Consider the following 14113-nt stretch of genomic DNA (forward strand, 5'->3'; position numbering starts at 1 on the left):
GGCAGTTGGAACAGAGTTAATTTTTTAAGTGTAGGGGAGCGTAGTGACTTAACCCTTGCATTGCATGGCCTTAGGTGTTGTTTATAGTTTGATATAGTCATAAAGAGTCCATTCTATCAGTCTTATTATCTCTATTTTAACATTAAAGCTGATCAGTTGGGCTGGATGCAGTGGCTCACACTTGTAATCCCAGCACTTTGGGAGGCTGAGGTGAGAGGATCACTTGAGCCCAGGACTTGGAGGCTGCAAGGGAATTATGGTCATGCAACTTCACTCCAGACTGGGTGACAGAGTAAGACCCTGTCTCTAAAAAATAAATAAATAAATACAATGCTGCTCAGTTATTGTGTCCAGATTGCAATATGACCTCTTGTCTCGTCATGACCAGGAACTCAGTTTTTAAGTCCTGTTGGCCAAGAGTGGGGGCTCCATTCAGTCAGTTGGGGGGCTTAGAATTTTATTTTTAGTTTACAATGCCAAGTGCTGATGAGGAAGTAGAGCAACCAAGATATGAGAATATATGTCTGGGGAGTGGGGAGATTGGTGCAACCACTTTGGAAAATGGCATACTCCTAAAATTGAAGATAAGTATACCTTATGACTCAGTTGTTCCTTTCTAGTTACATGCCCTAGAGAAACTCATGCATATGAGCACCAAGTTACAGGTAAAAGAATGTTCAAGGTAGCATTGTCTGTAATGGTCCCAAACTGGAAACAACTCAAGTGCCCATCAACAGAAGAATGGATATCCACACTGTGGTATATTCATGCAATAGAATACTATGCAGTCATGAAAATGAATCAACTACAGTTATTAGGTTGGCGCAGAAGAAATTGTGTTTTTTTGCCATTGAAAGTAATGGCAAGAACCACAATTACTTTTGCACCAACCAATACCTCCAGTGTTAGGGGCTGAATTATATCCCCCACTTCTACCTCCAAATTTGTATGTTGAAATCCCAACCCCTAGTACTGTAAAGTGTGACCATATTTGGAGATTGGGTCTTTAAAGGGGTAATTAAATTAAAATGAGGTTATTGGATGGACCCTAATCCAATATGGCTGATGTCCTTATTAGAAGAGGAAATCTGGACACAGACATGCACAGAGAAAAGGCCATGTAAAAACAGAGAAAATGTAGCTGTTGACAAGCCAAGGAGAGGACCTTAGGGGAAACCAACCCTGCCAACACCTTGATCTTGGGCTTCTAGCTTCCAGAACTGTGAGAGAATTAATTTCTGCTGTTTAAGCCACCCAGTCTGTGGAACTTTGTTAGGCACCCCTAACCCCCCAGCAGACTAACACACCAGCAATGTGGACAGATCTTGTAAACATGATACTGAGTGGAAGAAGGCACTAATAACATATACAGAACTATACCATTTATATAAAGTTCAAAATTAGGCAAGACCAAACTATTGTTTAAGGTCGTATATACAAATGGTAAAATGATGAAAGCAAGGAAGTTACCAAAAATAAGAAAATGGGAGGCGACACATAAAGGCTTCTGGGAGTGGGGGGTTGGGGTCGCCTAACAGTTCCACAGACTGGGTGGCTTAAACAGCAGAAATTAATTTGCCTGTTTCTTCACTTGGGTGCTGGTTACTCAGGTGTTCTCCCTAGAGTTGTGCACTGAACTGAACATTTATGTGTTGTGCACGTTGCAGTATTTATAATAAAATGCTGTAAAAGGAAGACAGAAGCAGGTGGGGGAAGAGGAGAAGCAGAGAGAGAAGGAACGAGGAGGGGGAAAAGGAGGGAAAGGAGGAAGGACGAGAAGCGGGAGGGGAAGAAATAAATCAGTGGGCTGGCCTCTTACCAAGTGGTGTGGTCTAAGAGCTGTGAGACCACAGCTGTCAGTTAAAGGTGGGTCCCAAGCTCAGGTGCTGCCTCTGAGTGTGAACCTGAGCCCAGAATCTCTCCCCTAGAGAAGGGCTTAGAAACTTTGTAACCTTGGGAAAGCCAGAGTATTTTTCTGAGATTTGTTTCTACATCTTTAGACCGGGGAAGATAAACACCTCTCAATAAATGTAAGGCTCTTCCTTTTACTAATTCAGGTCTCTGCTCTCATGTCACCTCCTCCAGGAAGCCTTCCCTAATGATCTTTTGAAAATAGCACCTCTTGGCTGGGTGAGGTGGGTATGCACCTGTGGTCCCAGCTATTTGGGAGCCTGAGGCAGGAGAATCGCCTGAGCCCAGGAGGCTGGGGTTGCTATGAGTCATGATTGCACCACTGCACTCCAGCCTTGGCAGCAGAGCGAAATCCTGACAAAAAAAAAAAAAAAAAAAAAAAAAAAAGGAAAAATAGCACCTTGATGTGGCTTGGCTCTGTGTCCTCACCCAAATCTCATCTCAAATTGTAATCCCCACATGTTGTGAGAGGGGCCTGATTGGAGGTGATTGGATCATGGGCAGACATCCCCCTTGTTATTCTCCTAATAGTGAGTCAGTTCTCATGAGATCTGGTTGTTTGAAAGTGTGTGGCACTTCCCCCTTTGCTCTCGCTCTCTCTCCTGCTCTACCATGGTCAGATGTGCTTGCTTCCCCTTCGCCTTCCACCATGATTGTAAGTTTCCTGAGGCCTTCCAGTCTTGCTTCCTGTTAAGCCTGCAGAACTGTGAGTCAGTAAAACTTCTTTTCTTCATAAATTATCCAGTTTCAGATAGTTTTGTTTTGTTTTGAGACAGAGTTTCCCTCTGTCGCCCAAGCTGGGAGTGCAGTGGTGCAATCTTGGCTCACTGCAACCTCCACCTCCTGGGTTCAAGTGATTCTTCTGCCTCAGCCTCCTGAGTAGCTGGGATTACAGGCACCCACCACCATGCCTGGCTAATTTTTGTATTTTTAGTAGAGATGGGGTTTCACCATGTTGGCCAGACTGGTCTTGATCTCCTGACCTCAAGTGATCCACCCACCTTAGCCTCCCAAAGTGCTAAGATTACAGGCATGAGCCACTGTGTCTGGCCTCAGGTAGTTCTTTATAGCACTGTGAAATGGACTAAGTACCTCCTTTCATTCTTTTTCCATTTATTTTTCTTTACAGTACTTAATACTGTTGATAAGTATTTATCACTGAAATTATGTCAAGTATTTGTGCATGAGGAGGAGCAGGATTTTTGTTTTGCTCCCCATTGTATTCCTAGTGCCTGAAACAGTATCTGACACATAGTAGATGCTCAATACATATTTGCAGTTAGTTTGGGTGTGTTGGCTCACATCTGTAATCCTAGCACTTTGGGAGGCCAAAGCAGGAGAATCACTTGAGGTCAGAAGTTCGAGACCAGCCTGGCCAACATGGCAAAACCCTGTCTCTACTAAAATACAAAAATTAGCCAGTGTAGTGGCACACGCCTGTAATCCCAGCTACTCCAGAAGCTGAGGCATGAGAATTACCTGAACCTAGGAGGCAGAGGCTGCAGTGAGCCAAGATTGTGCCACTGCACTCCAGCCTGGAGGACAAGAGCAAGACTTCGTCTCAAAAAAAAAAAAAAAAAAGAAAAGAAAAGAAAAGAAAAAATTTGCTGTTACAAACATTAGATAATAATTTTGTGATGCCAGGCACCTGAGGCACTCAATAAATGCTCGTTCTCTCCTCCCCTTTTAGCTGAGAACCTCACCCTCATTTCCTGGAGCTGGCAGCCCCTTATCTTTTTCCTTCCCCCCTCCAACCTGGGACTGAGAAAGTGCCTACAACTGACGCCTCTGATCAGTAGCAACATTTCACCCCCTGGGGCCAATCTGGCCCATCATCTGTCCCCTCCCCACACCCTTGCCAAGGGTCACAGTCTCCCTGCCCCAGGGGAGGGTCCCTTTCCCTCAGAGGGGCCGAGCTGCCCCTGGGTGACCCAGGCTCCAAGTGCTTACAGCACTTTGGGTGCATGGACTGTTGCCTCCATTGATAATTTACTGTTGTGGGCTTAGAGTGAGGCCCTGAAAACCCGCCATAAAGGTTTCTCTCACTCCTTCACCCTCATTAATTGCTCCCGCCTCCCTGTTCTTCCCACTCAGATGCCTATATTTAGTGCTGATTTTCTTCTGCCTTGTTTAGAGTTAGTTGTTTACTTGTTTGCTTCCCCTGCCACCTCCCAGACCATGAACCCAGCTGTGAGGGGCCAGACTTTATTCATTGCTGTACTCCCAGTGAAGTGGCACCATTCGCCTGGGGGGATACCTGAGGTTCATTGTCTCATGCCAGGGAAATCAAGGACATGGACACACAAGGAGTGAGGTTGAGAGCGGAGGTTTAATAGAAGGAGGCCAGGCATGGTGGCTCACACTTGTAATCCTAGCACTTTGGGAAGCCAAGGTGGGTGGATCACGAAGTCAAAAAGATCGAAACCATCCTGGCCAACATGATGAAATCCCGTCTCTACTAAAAATACAAAAATTAGCTGGGTGTGGTGGTGCACGACTGTAGTGCCAGCTACAGGCTGAGGCAGGAGAATCACTTGAACACGGGAGGTGGAGGTTGTAGTGAGCTGAGATCACACGACTGCACTTCAGTCTGGTGACAAAGTGAGACTCCATCTCAAAAAAAAAAAAAAAAAAAGGCGAAAGAAAGAGAAAACCTTTCTCCTACAAGGAGAGGGGTCCTGAGCAGGTTTCCAGTCCACAGTGAAATGCAGGGTTTTATAGATGAGCTTGAGAAGGTAGCGTCTGATTTACATAGAGCACGAAAGAGTGCTTGGACCAGGTGTGCCATTTGCATAAGGCATGAAAAAGTGGTTAGGACTAGGTATGCTATTTGCATAGTGTGTAAAAGTCTGGCCACCCCCACCCTAATCTTTTATTATGCAGATGAGCTTTCTACCTGGCTGGCACCATGTTGCCTGTTCCTTTACTGTACACATGGTGACAAAAGGGAAGTTGAAGCCTCCATATTGAACATACCTGGCCCTCAGGTAACCCTTTTCTATTGGCACAGGTGCTGGCATTCGCCCGTGCAAGCTTCCAGCTTGCTTATCTGTTTGCAGCTCGATTTTTCAGGCTGCTCTTTGTTAGAAAAGCAATGATTTTGGGCTGCTTTTTGTTGAAAGGGAATTTCTGCCGAGGACTCTTACCCTCACGATCTGCCTGAATAATTTCTTTCTGTCTCCTGTATCACCAGCACCTGGCACAGCACCTGAATTTTAAATCTTATTTATTTATTTATTTATTTATAGAGACAAGTTCTTGCTCTGTCGCCTAGGCGACACTATAACATCAACCTCCTGGCCTCAAGTGATCCTCCCACTTTGGCCTCCCAAAGTGTTGGGATTATAGGTGTGAGCCACCACACCTGGCCTTAATAGACACATTTTTTTCTTTAAAGCTTCTGTTACAAAGGACAGATAAGAGGATTTCAAGAGTTAAGATGACCACAGATCAAACTTCCTTGATGTGCCATCTTCCAACTTAAATTCGAAAGCTACTTGAGACACAGAAAAAGACAAAAACTGAGAACCATTCAGAAAACTTAGTGGTCAGTTGTTGGCCAGAGTCCAAGATGGAAATTTCCCTAATAACCTGCCACTGGGGCTGGGGGAAGTCACATGGTAGGTGGCCTGTGCATACTTTGCCCTCTAAAGTGGCCCAGAACCTGCAGACAGGAAGCTTGCAGGGAGAAGCTTAGGCCCTCATTCACTGTACAGGGCTGCACTCACCAGCAAATGGGCAGCACACTCCTAACACTCAAGTATGGTTTTCTGAGGCAGTCACTTCTGTCCACCCTCACCCCTTCCGTTAGACTGTCTCTGCCTGTGTCTGTGGGGACACTGTGGCACTCAGTACCTCTGAGCAGGGAGCAGGGCAGGACTGATGAGGAGGTGGCCTAAAAGGCACGCTCGCCTAATGCAGGGACCCTACAGATGGAAAGAGTGCGGTTTTATTTCAAAATATCTGATACACAGTAATATAGATACCTTGTAGTACTTAAATCGTATTAACCCAGTTTGAAGGTCTTTGGCTTTTAGTATCATGCGTTTATTTTTATGTTGGCATGTTTGGTTTTATTTCTTTTATTTTGGTTTATGCCTTCTCTTTTTCATGTTTGTTTTTGTTTTTGCCTTCTATGATAAGCAAAATTGCATGATGATGTATTTTTTATTTATTTATTTTTTTTTTGAGATGGAGTCTAGCTCTGTTGCTCAGGCTGGAGTGCAGTAGCACAATCTCGGCTCACTGCAACCTCCACCTCCCGGGTTCAAGCGATTCTCCTGCCTTAGCCTCCCAAGTAGCTGGGATTACAGGCGCCCACCACCATGCCCAGCTAATTTTTGTATTTTTAGTAGAGACAGGGTTTCACTGTGTTGGCCAGGGTGGTCTCGAACTCCTGACCTGATGATCCGCCCACCTCGGCCTCCCAAAGTGCTGGGATTACAAGCGTGAGCCACCGCGCCTGGCCCTTTTTTTTTTTTTTTTTTAAGACAGAATCTCGCTATGTTGCCCAGGCTGGAGTGCAGTGGCGCGATCTCAGCTCACTGCAACCTCCGCCTCCTGGATTCAAGTGATTCTCCTGCCTCAGCCTCCTAAGTAGCTGGGATTACAGGCGCCTGCCACCGCGCCCTGCAATTTTTGTATTTTTAGTAGAGACAGGGTTTCACCATCTTGGCCAGGCTGGTCTTGAACTCCTGACCTTGTGATCCACCTGCCTCAGCCTCCCAAAGTGCTGGGATTACAGGCATGAGCCACCGTGCCCAGCCGATGATGTATTTTTTTAGAGTCATGGTCTCGCTATGTTGCCAGGCTGGACTTGAACTCCTGGTCTCAAATGATTCTCCAGTCTCAGCTTCCTGAGTAGCTAGGAGTACAGGTGCACCATTGTACCTGGCTGATGATTTGTTTTTATCTTCTGTAATTTGAAAAGTATATAGCTATATAGCCTATTGTTTTAATTCTGCCAACACCTTGAAGATTTTTAAAAACTTTTTTGAACCCATGTAGTATAGTTTGGACTTCCCCTCCAAATCTCATGTTGAGATGTAATCCCCAATGTTGGAGGTGGGGTCTGGTGGGAGGTGTTTGAGTCATGGGGGTAAATCCCTTGATGCTTTCCCGGAGATAGTGAGTTCTCATGAGATCTGGTTGTTGTAAAGTGTGGCACCTCCCCCACGCTCTCTCTTGCTCGTGCTCTGCCATGTGAAACAGCAGCTCTCCCTTTGCCATCTCCCAGGAGTAAAAGTTTCCTGAGACCTTCCCAGAAGCCAAACAGATGCCTAGCACCAGGCTTCCTGTACACTCTGTAGAACCATGAGCCATTTAAACCTCTTTTCTTTATAAATTACCCAGTCTCAGGTGTTTCTTTACACAATGCAAGAACATCCTAACACACCATGTTTCTCTATCAGATTGAAAATAAATCTACCATGTTTGCCTCCCTTCCAATATAAAGTGAGAAGTTTTTCAGGCCCTCCTTCCATATCTCTTCATTAGAGGCCTAGGTTATCACACCTCTCTTTTTTAAAATGATATAGGTCTTCTTTTTACAAAAAATTGGTTTTAAATTTGGGATCCAAATTTTAGCCATGTTTATCATTATTTATTTGATACTCTGTGTTTAAATGGTTTCCACATTTCCTGCAGGCTCCACTTACTATGGCTGTAAAACAAATTAGCCCCAAACAGTGGCCAGGTGCAATGGCTCGTGCCTGTAATCCCAGCACTTTAGAAGAGGCCGAGGAAGGCCAATCACTTGAGGCCAGGAGTTGGAGACCAGCCTGGCCAATATGGCGAAACCTCGTCTCTACTAAAAACACAAAAATTAGCCAGGCAAGGTGGTGTGTGCCTGTAGTCCCAGCTACTTGGGAGGCTGAGGCAGGAGAATTGCTTGAACCTGGAAAGCAGAGGTTGCAATGAGCCAAGATTGCGCCACTGCACTCCAGCCTGGGTGACAGAGAGAGACTGTTTCAAAAAATAAAATAGGCCAGGTGCAGCAGCTCATGCCTGTAATCTTAGCACCTTGGCAGCCCGAGGCAAGTGGATCACCTGAGATCAGGAGTTCAAGACCAGCCTGGCCAACATGGTGAAACCCTGTCTCTACTAAAAATACAAAAATTAGCTGGGTGTGGTGGCACATGCCTGTAATCCCAGCTACTTGGGAGGCTGAAACAGGAGAATTGCTTGAACCTGGGAGGCAGAGGTTGTAGTGAGCCGAGACCACACCACTGCACTCTAGCCTGGGTCACAGAGTGAGACTGTCTCAAAAAACATAAAATAAAAATTAAAATTAATTATCCTAAAGCTTAATGCTTAAAACAATAATCATTTATTACCTCTTGCTCTTTCTGTGCATTACAGTTTAGACAAGGTATAACAGGGATGGCTTATCTCTCCTCCAAAGGAGATGTGAAATGTCTGAGGCCTCGCAGTAAAACTCCAAAGTTGAGCCTCTAGCTTGTCTAGAATCATCTGAAGGCTTGCTTACCTGAAGTTGGTGCTGGCTGTCACTCAGCTGGAGGCCTCGCTGGGGCTATTGACCAGAACACCCACACATGGCCTCTGGTGTGCCTGGTCTCCCTCACAACATAGTGGCTGAGTTCCAAAGGCAAGCATCTAGAGAGAGCGAGCCAGGTGGAAGCCATTGCCTTTTATGACCTAGCCTCAGAAATCATTCAGTGTCACTTCTGCTGCATCCTGGTGGTTGGGACAGGTACAAAGTTCTGCCCAACTTCCATGGAAGTGTGTCAAGATCACTTTGTAAGATGAACATGTGCGGGTGCCCACATATGTACACACGTGTGTGCATGTATACACATGTACATGCATATGTATATGCTGATATGGTCATCTTTGAAAAAAGACCATCAGCCATACTGTATTTCCTTAAATTCTTGATTTTCAACTTATGTTTCAGGCAGTTGCAGAGTGTCTTTGAGTAACTTTCAGGAAGATTGCATGCTATGAGTCTCAATGTGCAGTATGTAAAACGGCCATCTTCTTTCTTATTTTAAAATTCATAGCCAGGTGCGGTAGCTCACCCCTGGAATCCCAGCACTTGGGAGGCCGAGGCAAGTAGATCACCTGAGGTCAGTCTCTACTAAAAATATAAAAATTAGCTAGGGGGTGGGGCGGGAGGAGTGTAGGAATGGCACATGCCTGTAGTCCTAGCTACTGGGAAGGTTGAGGCAGGAGAACTGCTTGAACCCAGCAGGTGGAGGTTGCAGTGAGCCGAGATCACATCACTGCACTTCAGCCTAGGCAACAGAGTGAGACTCTGTCTCAAAAAAAAAAAAAATCACAAGGCCAGCCATGGTGGTTCAAGCCTGTAATCCCAGCACTTTGGGAGGGCAAGGTGAGAGGATCCCTTGAAGCCAGTGGATGCTCAATGCACTTGCCTCCTGCACTGTGGAAGAAGCCAGTTTTGTCTCCATTTGCATATGCATTTCAATCTTCCTGATCTATATGTGTGTCTGTTCTTTGCATTCTCTTTTGAACTGGTTGTAGGCTCCTACTGGGTCCCTCATTAATAATGAGTTAAATAAAATCCAGAACACATGTATATTTTAAATCTGCATGAGAATCATAATCTTTTTTGAAATTATCCTTTAACATTCCTTTCCTGAAAAGTTGAGAAACGATGTATTCGACACTATCTATGACAATGTAACAGCCATGATTTAATGATACTGATGGACAGTAGAATGTACATATGCAGATATAGTGTAGTTAGAACTACATTTAATATTAAGAAAAAAACACTCGAAAAGATAAAATGTGTTGAATTGTTTAACATTTTTCTTTATTATATTTTCCAAAAATTTAAAAACAGGCTGATGCTACCTTGGTAGAGAAATCCAGTGAAGCTAAACTCTAAGCCTCTGTTTTATTGAGGGATTAGTAATTTTTTTTTTTTTTTTTTTGAGACAGAGTCTCACTCTGTCACCCAGGCTGGAGTGCAGTGGCGTGACCTTGGCTCACTGCAACCTCTGCCTCCTGGGTTCACACCATTCTCCTGACTCAGCCTCCCAGGTAGCTGGGACCACAGGCACCTGCCACCACGCCCGGCTAATTTTTTTTGTATTTTTAGTAGAGATGGGGAGTAATTGTTTTATGGTTCTTGAAGGGCTGGGAGGGGCTTCCTGGTCTCTGCATGTCACTGGGGTCAGTGGGAGTGCTGCTGGAAAGTGAGGGAACATATGATGATTAATAGTAATAATAATAATAAATCAGTACTTGTAATGTCCCAGGAATTGTGTCAAGCAGTATCTCATTTAACCCTTACAACAGCCCTTTGAAGTAGATACTGGTAGATGGTATTTCCATTGGCTAGGTGCGGTGGCTCACGCCTATAATCCCAGGACTTTGGGAGGCTGGGATGGGAGGATTGCTTGAGACCAGCCTGGCAACCTGGTCAGACCTTGTCTCTACAAAAAATAAAAAAAATTAACTGGGCATGGTGGCATGCACTCGTGTAATTGCAGCTGCTGGGGAGCCTGAGGCAGGAGGATCCTTTGAGCCCAGGAGGTCAAGATTGATGTGAGCTGTGATCCCACCACTGCACTCCAGCCTGGGTGACAGAGTGAGACCCTGTCTCAAAAAAAAAAAAAAAAAATGGTATGCCCATTTTACAGATGAGGAAACTAAGGTTAGGAAACTTAAGTGACTTGCCCAACTAGTATGTGGTGGAACCCAGACTGAGACATGGGCTCTTAACCCCCCTGCTACTGTGTGTCATGTGAGAAATGTTGGAGAGGAAGTCCTGGGATCTCCTCCTGAAGAAATTGTCCCCACTACTGGATCCAAGCCCTCAGAATCAATTCATCCGTGAAACATTCACTGAGCCTCCTCTGTGTTCCAGGCCCTGAGGATAAAACGTGATCTGAGTCTTCAAGTAACTCAGGAGCCAGGGTGAACAGCCAGGGACGGGAGTCGGCCAAAGGAGGGGCCTTGGCAGGGGTAGGGAGGGTGAGGAGGTGCTTCCAGGAGGTGGCGGCAACCTGCTTGAGTCTTAAAGGACAGGAAGAGCCAGGCTGGTAAAGGGGTGAGGGTTGGGAAAAGGGCATTGAGGGCAGAAGGGCTTGAGCACAGAGGGGAAAGAAACCCCTGAGAGACACCATCAGCACACTCATTTCAGCTCTGCGGCTCACCTGCCTCCACTGTCCCCGCTTCTGCCGCTGCCCTGGTTACCAGAAGTCGTTTTGTTCAGTGGGAAGGTGGGCACAGGTCACTGCTAGGGGTGGGTACCTGAACATGCCAACCAGAGCCTCCTTTTTCCAAGATGTTTGAACATGGGTCAGATGGTCTCTCTCCAGGGCCTGACGGTGAGAGGTGCAGCCTGCAGAAGGCCTTAGCAGTGGGTGTGCAGGGGGCACCGTGAGAGTGGGCAGACCAGGCTGTCTGAGCAAGGACTCAACACACCTCTGAGGTCCCGCTGCATGCTCAGCATGGGTCCCGGGACACATGCCAGGGCCTTCTTAACACATTTCTTGTTTCCTTTAGATTGTCCAAATTGGGTTTCTGTCACCTGTAACCAAAGATCCTTGCTGACACAGCCCCTGAGTTGGTCAGACTCAGGAGAGGGACATTTAAACTAAGAGAGGCTCACCTATAGATCAGGAAGCCAACTGACTCATTTCCCGTGAGAAGTGTCACGGCTCAGTGGGTCAGCCTTTCACATCATTACTGCCGGTGTCTCCTTTCCCTGGAGAAAAGCCATCTGGATTGACAACTGGCCTCTTGGAGCAGGCCCCAGGCCCAGCAAGGATCTATAGCTAGAGGCATCAAGCAAGGACTGCCCAAGGGTCCAAAAACTGTTTCTGTTAAGGTCCAGACAGTGAATATTGTAGACTTTGCAGTCTCTGTTGAAACCATTCAACTCTACCACTGCAGTGTGAAAACAGCCACAGACAGCACATAAATACATGAGCATAGCTGTGTTCCAATAAAACTTTACTTATAAACATTGAAATTTGAATTTCATACAGTTTTCATGTGTCCTGATGTATTACTCTCTCTTTTTTCTTTTTTGAGACGGAGTCTTGCTCTGTTGCCCAGGCTGGAGTGCAGTGGCGCAATCTCAGCTTACTGCAACCTCTGCCTCCTGAGTTCAAGTGATTCTCCTGCCTCAGCCTCCTGAATAGCTGGAATGACAGGCACACACCACCACACCTAGCTAATTTTTGTATTTTTAGTAGAGACAGGGTTTTGCCATGTTGGCCAGGCTGGTCTGGAACTACTGACCTCAGGTGATCCACCCGCCTCGGCCTCCCAAAGTGCTAGGATTACAGGCGTGGGCCACAATGCCTGGCCAATATATTACTCTTCTTTCAACTTTTTTAAGAACATTAAAGCCATTCTTAGCTCTCAGACCAAGCAGAAACCAGTGGTGAGGGACCAGATTTAGCTTTGCAGCCTGTAGTCTGCCTGCTGTTGGCCTAGGGCATGAACACGTATGCTGAGAAAGAAGATGGTTGACAAGGAGGCTGGACAACTGGGTCCATGGGCCAGGCCAGGGACACTTCTGGGGCTGCTATGCAGGCTTGTCACTCTAGCTGCTTCTTCTCTAGCCATTCAGATCACCCTCTTCAGTCTACACCCTCCTGAAGAAGAAGCTCAGGACCCATGAGTGGGCTTAAGTGCTTGGAAATGATGACATGTCTAGTCTTGCCTTCCAAAATTTAGCCTTGGACTGCCTTGATGCAGCCGCTCCTGACGCTTCTAGGGGCAGCTGTCCTGCCCCTATCCCCTGTGAAAAGCAGATTATGAAAGCCCACTCATCCCACCCCACACAACCCAGGACCCAGAGGCCAGGGAGAGAATAGGCTGGCTGCAGCCGCTGACTCATGCCCTGGCATGAAGGCATGAACTTGTTCGAGAGGGATCTTAAAAGATACAGTAGGAAGCTGCAGTTACAAGTGGGCTCTGTGGCTGGGTGTGGTAGCTCACACCTGTAATCTCAGCACTTTGGGAGGCCGAGGCAGGTGGATCACTTGAGGTCAGGAGTTCAAGACCAGCCTGGCCAATATGGTGAAAACCTATCTTTACTAAAAATACAAAAACCAGCAAGGTGTGGAGGCATGTGCCTGTAGTCCCAGCTACTCGGGAGACTGAGGCAGGAGAATTGCTTGAACCCGGGAGGTGGAGGTTGCAGTGAGCCGAGATTGTGCCACTGCACTCCAGCCTGGGGAACAGAGTGAGACTCTATCTCAAAAAAAAAAAAAAAAAAAAGTGAACTCTGTGACTGGAAGGTTGAGTAGATTCAGGGACCAGGGTAGTTGTAGGAGGCCAGATGTCAGTTGAAGTTGGGGGAATGGAGATTGGTGGAAGAGATAACAGTGGGTATCCTGGAGACAGAGATTGACCGACTGACTGGCTGAAAGAGAGACAGACACAGCAGGTGAATCCCAGACCTGCCTTGTTTCTGGCCCTTCCTGAGGCTTGACTAGGGGGTCTTCACTGTAACTTCATAGCCCCCTTCCCCTATACCTGGGGTAATCTGGGTAATCCCAATGCTTCTCCAATACGTTCTATCAAACCAGAAGCTGTGGAGCAGGTAATTTCTTTCTATTTATTTATTTTTGGATTGGTATAAATTTATGGGATACAAGTATAATTTTGTTACATGCACAGAATTCGTAGTGGTGATGTCAGGCTTTCAGGGTATCCATCACCCAAATAACATACATTGTACCCATTAAGTGAATTCTCATCATCCATCCCCACATCCCCTTCTCTGCGTCCACTATCATTCATACTCACACCCATATGTATACATTATTTAGTTCCCACTTATGAGTGAGAACATGAGTATTTGTCTTTCTGTGTCTGACTTTTTTCACCTAACAACCTCCAGTTCCATCCATGCTGCTGCAGAAGACACAATTTCATTCATTTTTGTGTCTGAACACGATTCCATTGGGTATACAGATCATATTTTATTTATCCAATCATCTGTTGATGGAGACGTAGGTTGATTCCATGTCTTGGAGGACGTCATTTCCGCTGTTGGCGGAACTCATCCTGAGCTTCTGATCTTACTCTCCAAGGGAACTCTGCACTTCATGTTGGGGACTTTTTGCTGTCTTGGTGTCTGCAGGTTGGAATCTTGCTTCAGCCACAAAATTTCAGTTGGGTGGTCTGGGTCTCACTTCCCTCACCTCTTAAATGGCTGTCCTGCATCATGCACCATTTACTATGACAA

At 46.1% G+C, this 14113-nt stretch overlaps 6 annotated features.

Moving 5' to 3' along the window:
• Nucleotides 3892–4449: an enhancer, noted in NCBI's record as "H3K27ac hESC enhancer chr15:68145177-68145734 (GRCh37/hg19 assembly coordinates)". NCBI's record gives its function as "activates a minimal SCP1, AML or CMV promoter by ChIP-STARR-seq in primed H9 embryonic stem cells {active_cell/tissue: H9 hESC(primed)}" and the evidence as "EXISTENCE:reporter gene assay evidence [ECO:0000049][PMID:30033119]".
• Nucleotides 4450–5005: an enhancer, noted in NCBI's record as "OCT4-H3K27ac hESC enhancer chr15:68145735-68146290 (GRCh37/hg19 assembly coordinates)". NCBI's record gives its function as "activates a minimal SCP1, AML or CMV promoter by ChIP-STARR-seq in primed H9 embryonic stem cells {active_cell/tissue: H9 hESC(primed)}" and the evidence as "EXISTENCE:reporter gene assay evidence [ECO:0000049][PMID:30033119]".
• Nucleotides 7103–7182: an enhancer, noted in NCBI's record as "active region_9636". NCBI's record gives its function as "activates an Ori minimal core promoter by ATAC-STARR-seq in GM12878 lymphoblastoid cells {active_cell/tissue: GM12878}" and the evidence as "EXISTENCE:reporter gene assay evidence [ECO:0000049][PMID:35858748]".
• Nucleotides 10775–11275: an enhancer, noted in NCBI's record as "H3K4me1 hESC enhancer chr15:68152060-68152560 (GRCh37/hg19 assembly coordinates)". NCBI's record gives its function as "activates a minimal SCP1, AML or CMV promoter by ChIP-STARR-seq in naive H9 embryonic stem cells {active_cell/tissue: H9 hESC(naive)}" and the evidence as "EXISTENCE:reporter gene assay evidence [ECO:0000049][PMID:30033119]".
• Nucleotides 11331–11420: an enhancer, noted in NCBI's record as "active region_9637". NCBI's record gives its function as "activates an Ori minimal core promoter by ATAC-STARR-seq in GM12878 lymphoblastoid cells {active_cell/tissue: GM12878}" and the evidence as "EXISTENCE:reporter gene assay evidence [ECO:0000049][PMID:35858748]".
• Nucleotides 13770–13859: an enhancer, noted in NCBI's record as "active region_9638". NCBI's record gives its function as "activates an Ori minimal core promoter by ATAC-STARR-seq in GM12878 lymphoblastoid cells {active_cell/tissue: GM12878}" and the evidence as "EXISTENCE:reporter gene assay evidence [ECO:0000049][PMID:35858748]".

This window comes from Homo sapiens, chromosome 15 (genome assembly GCF_000001405.40).
Source record: "Homo sapiens chromosome 15, GRCh38.p14 Primary Assembly".
Taxonomy (NCBI): Eukaryota; Metazoa; Chordata; class Mammalia; order Primates; family Hominidae; genus Homo; species Homo sapiens.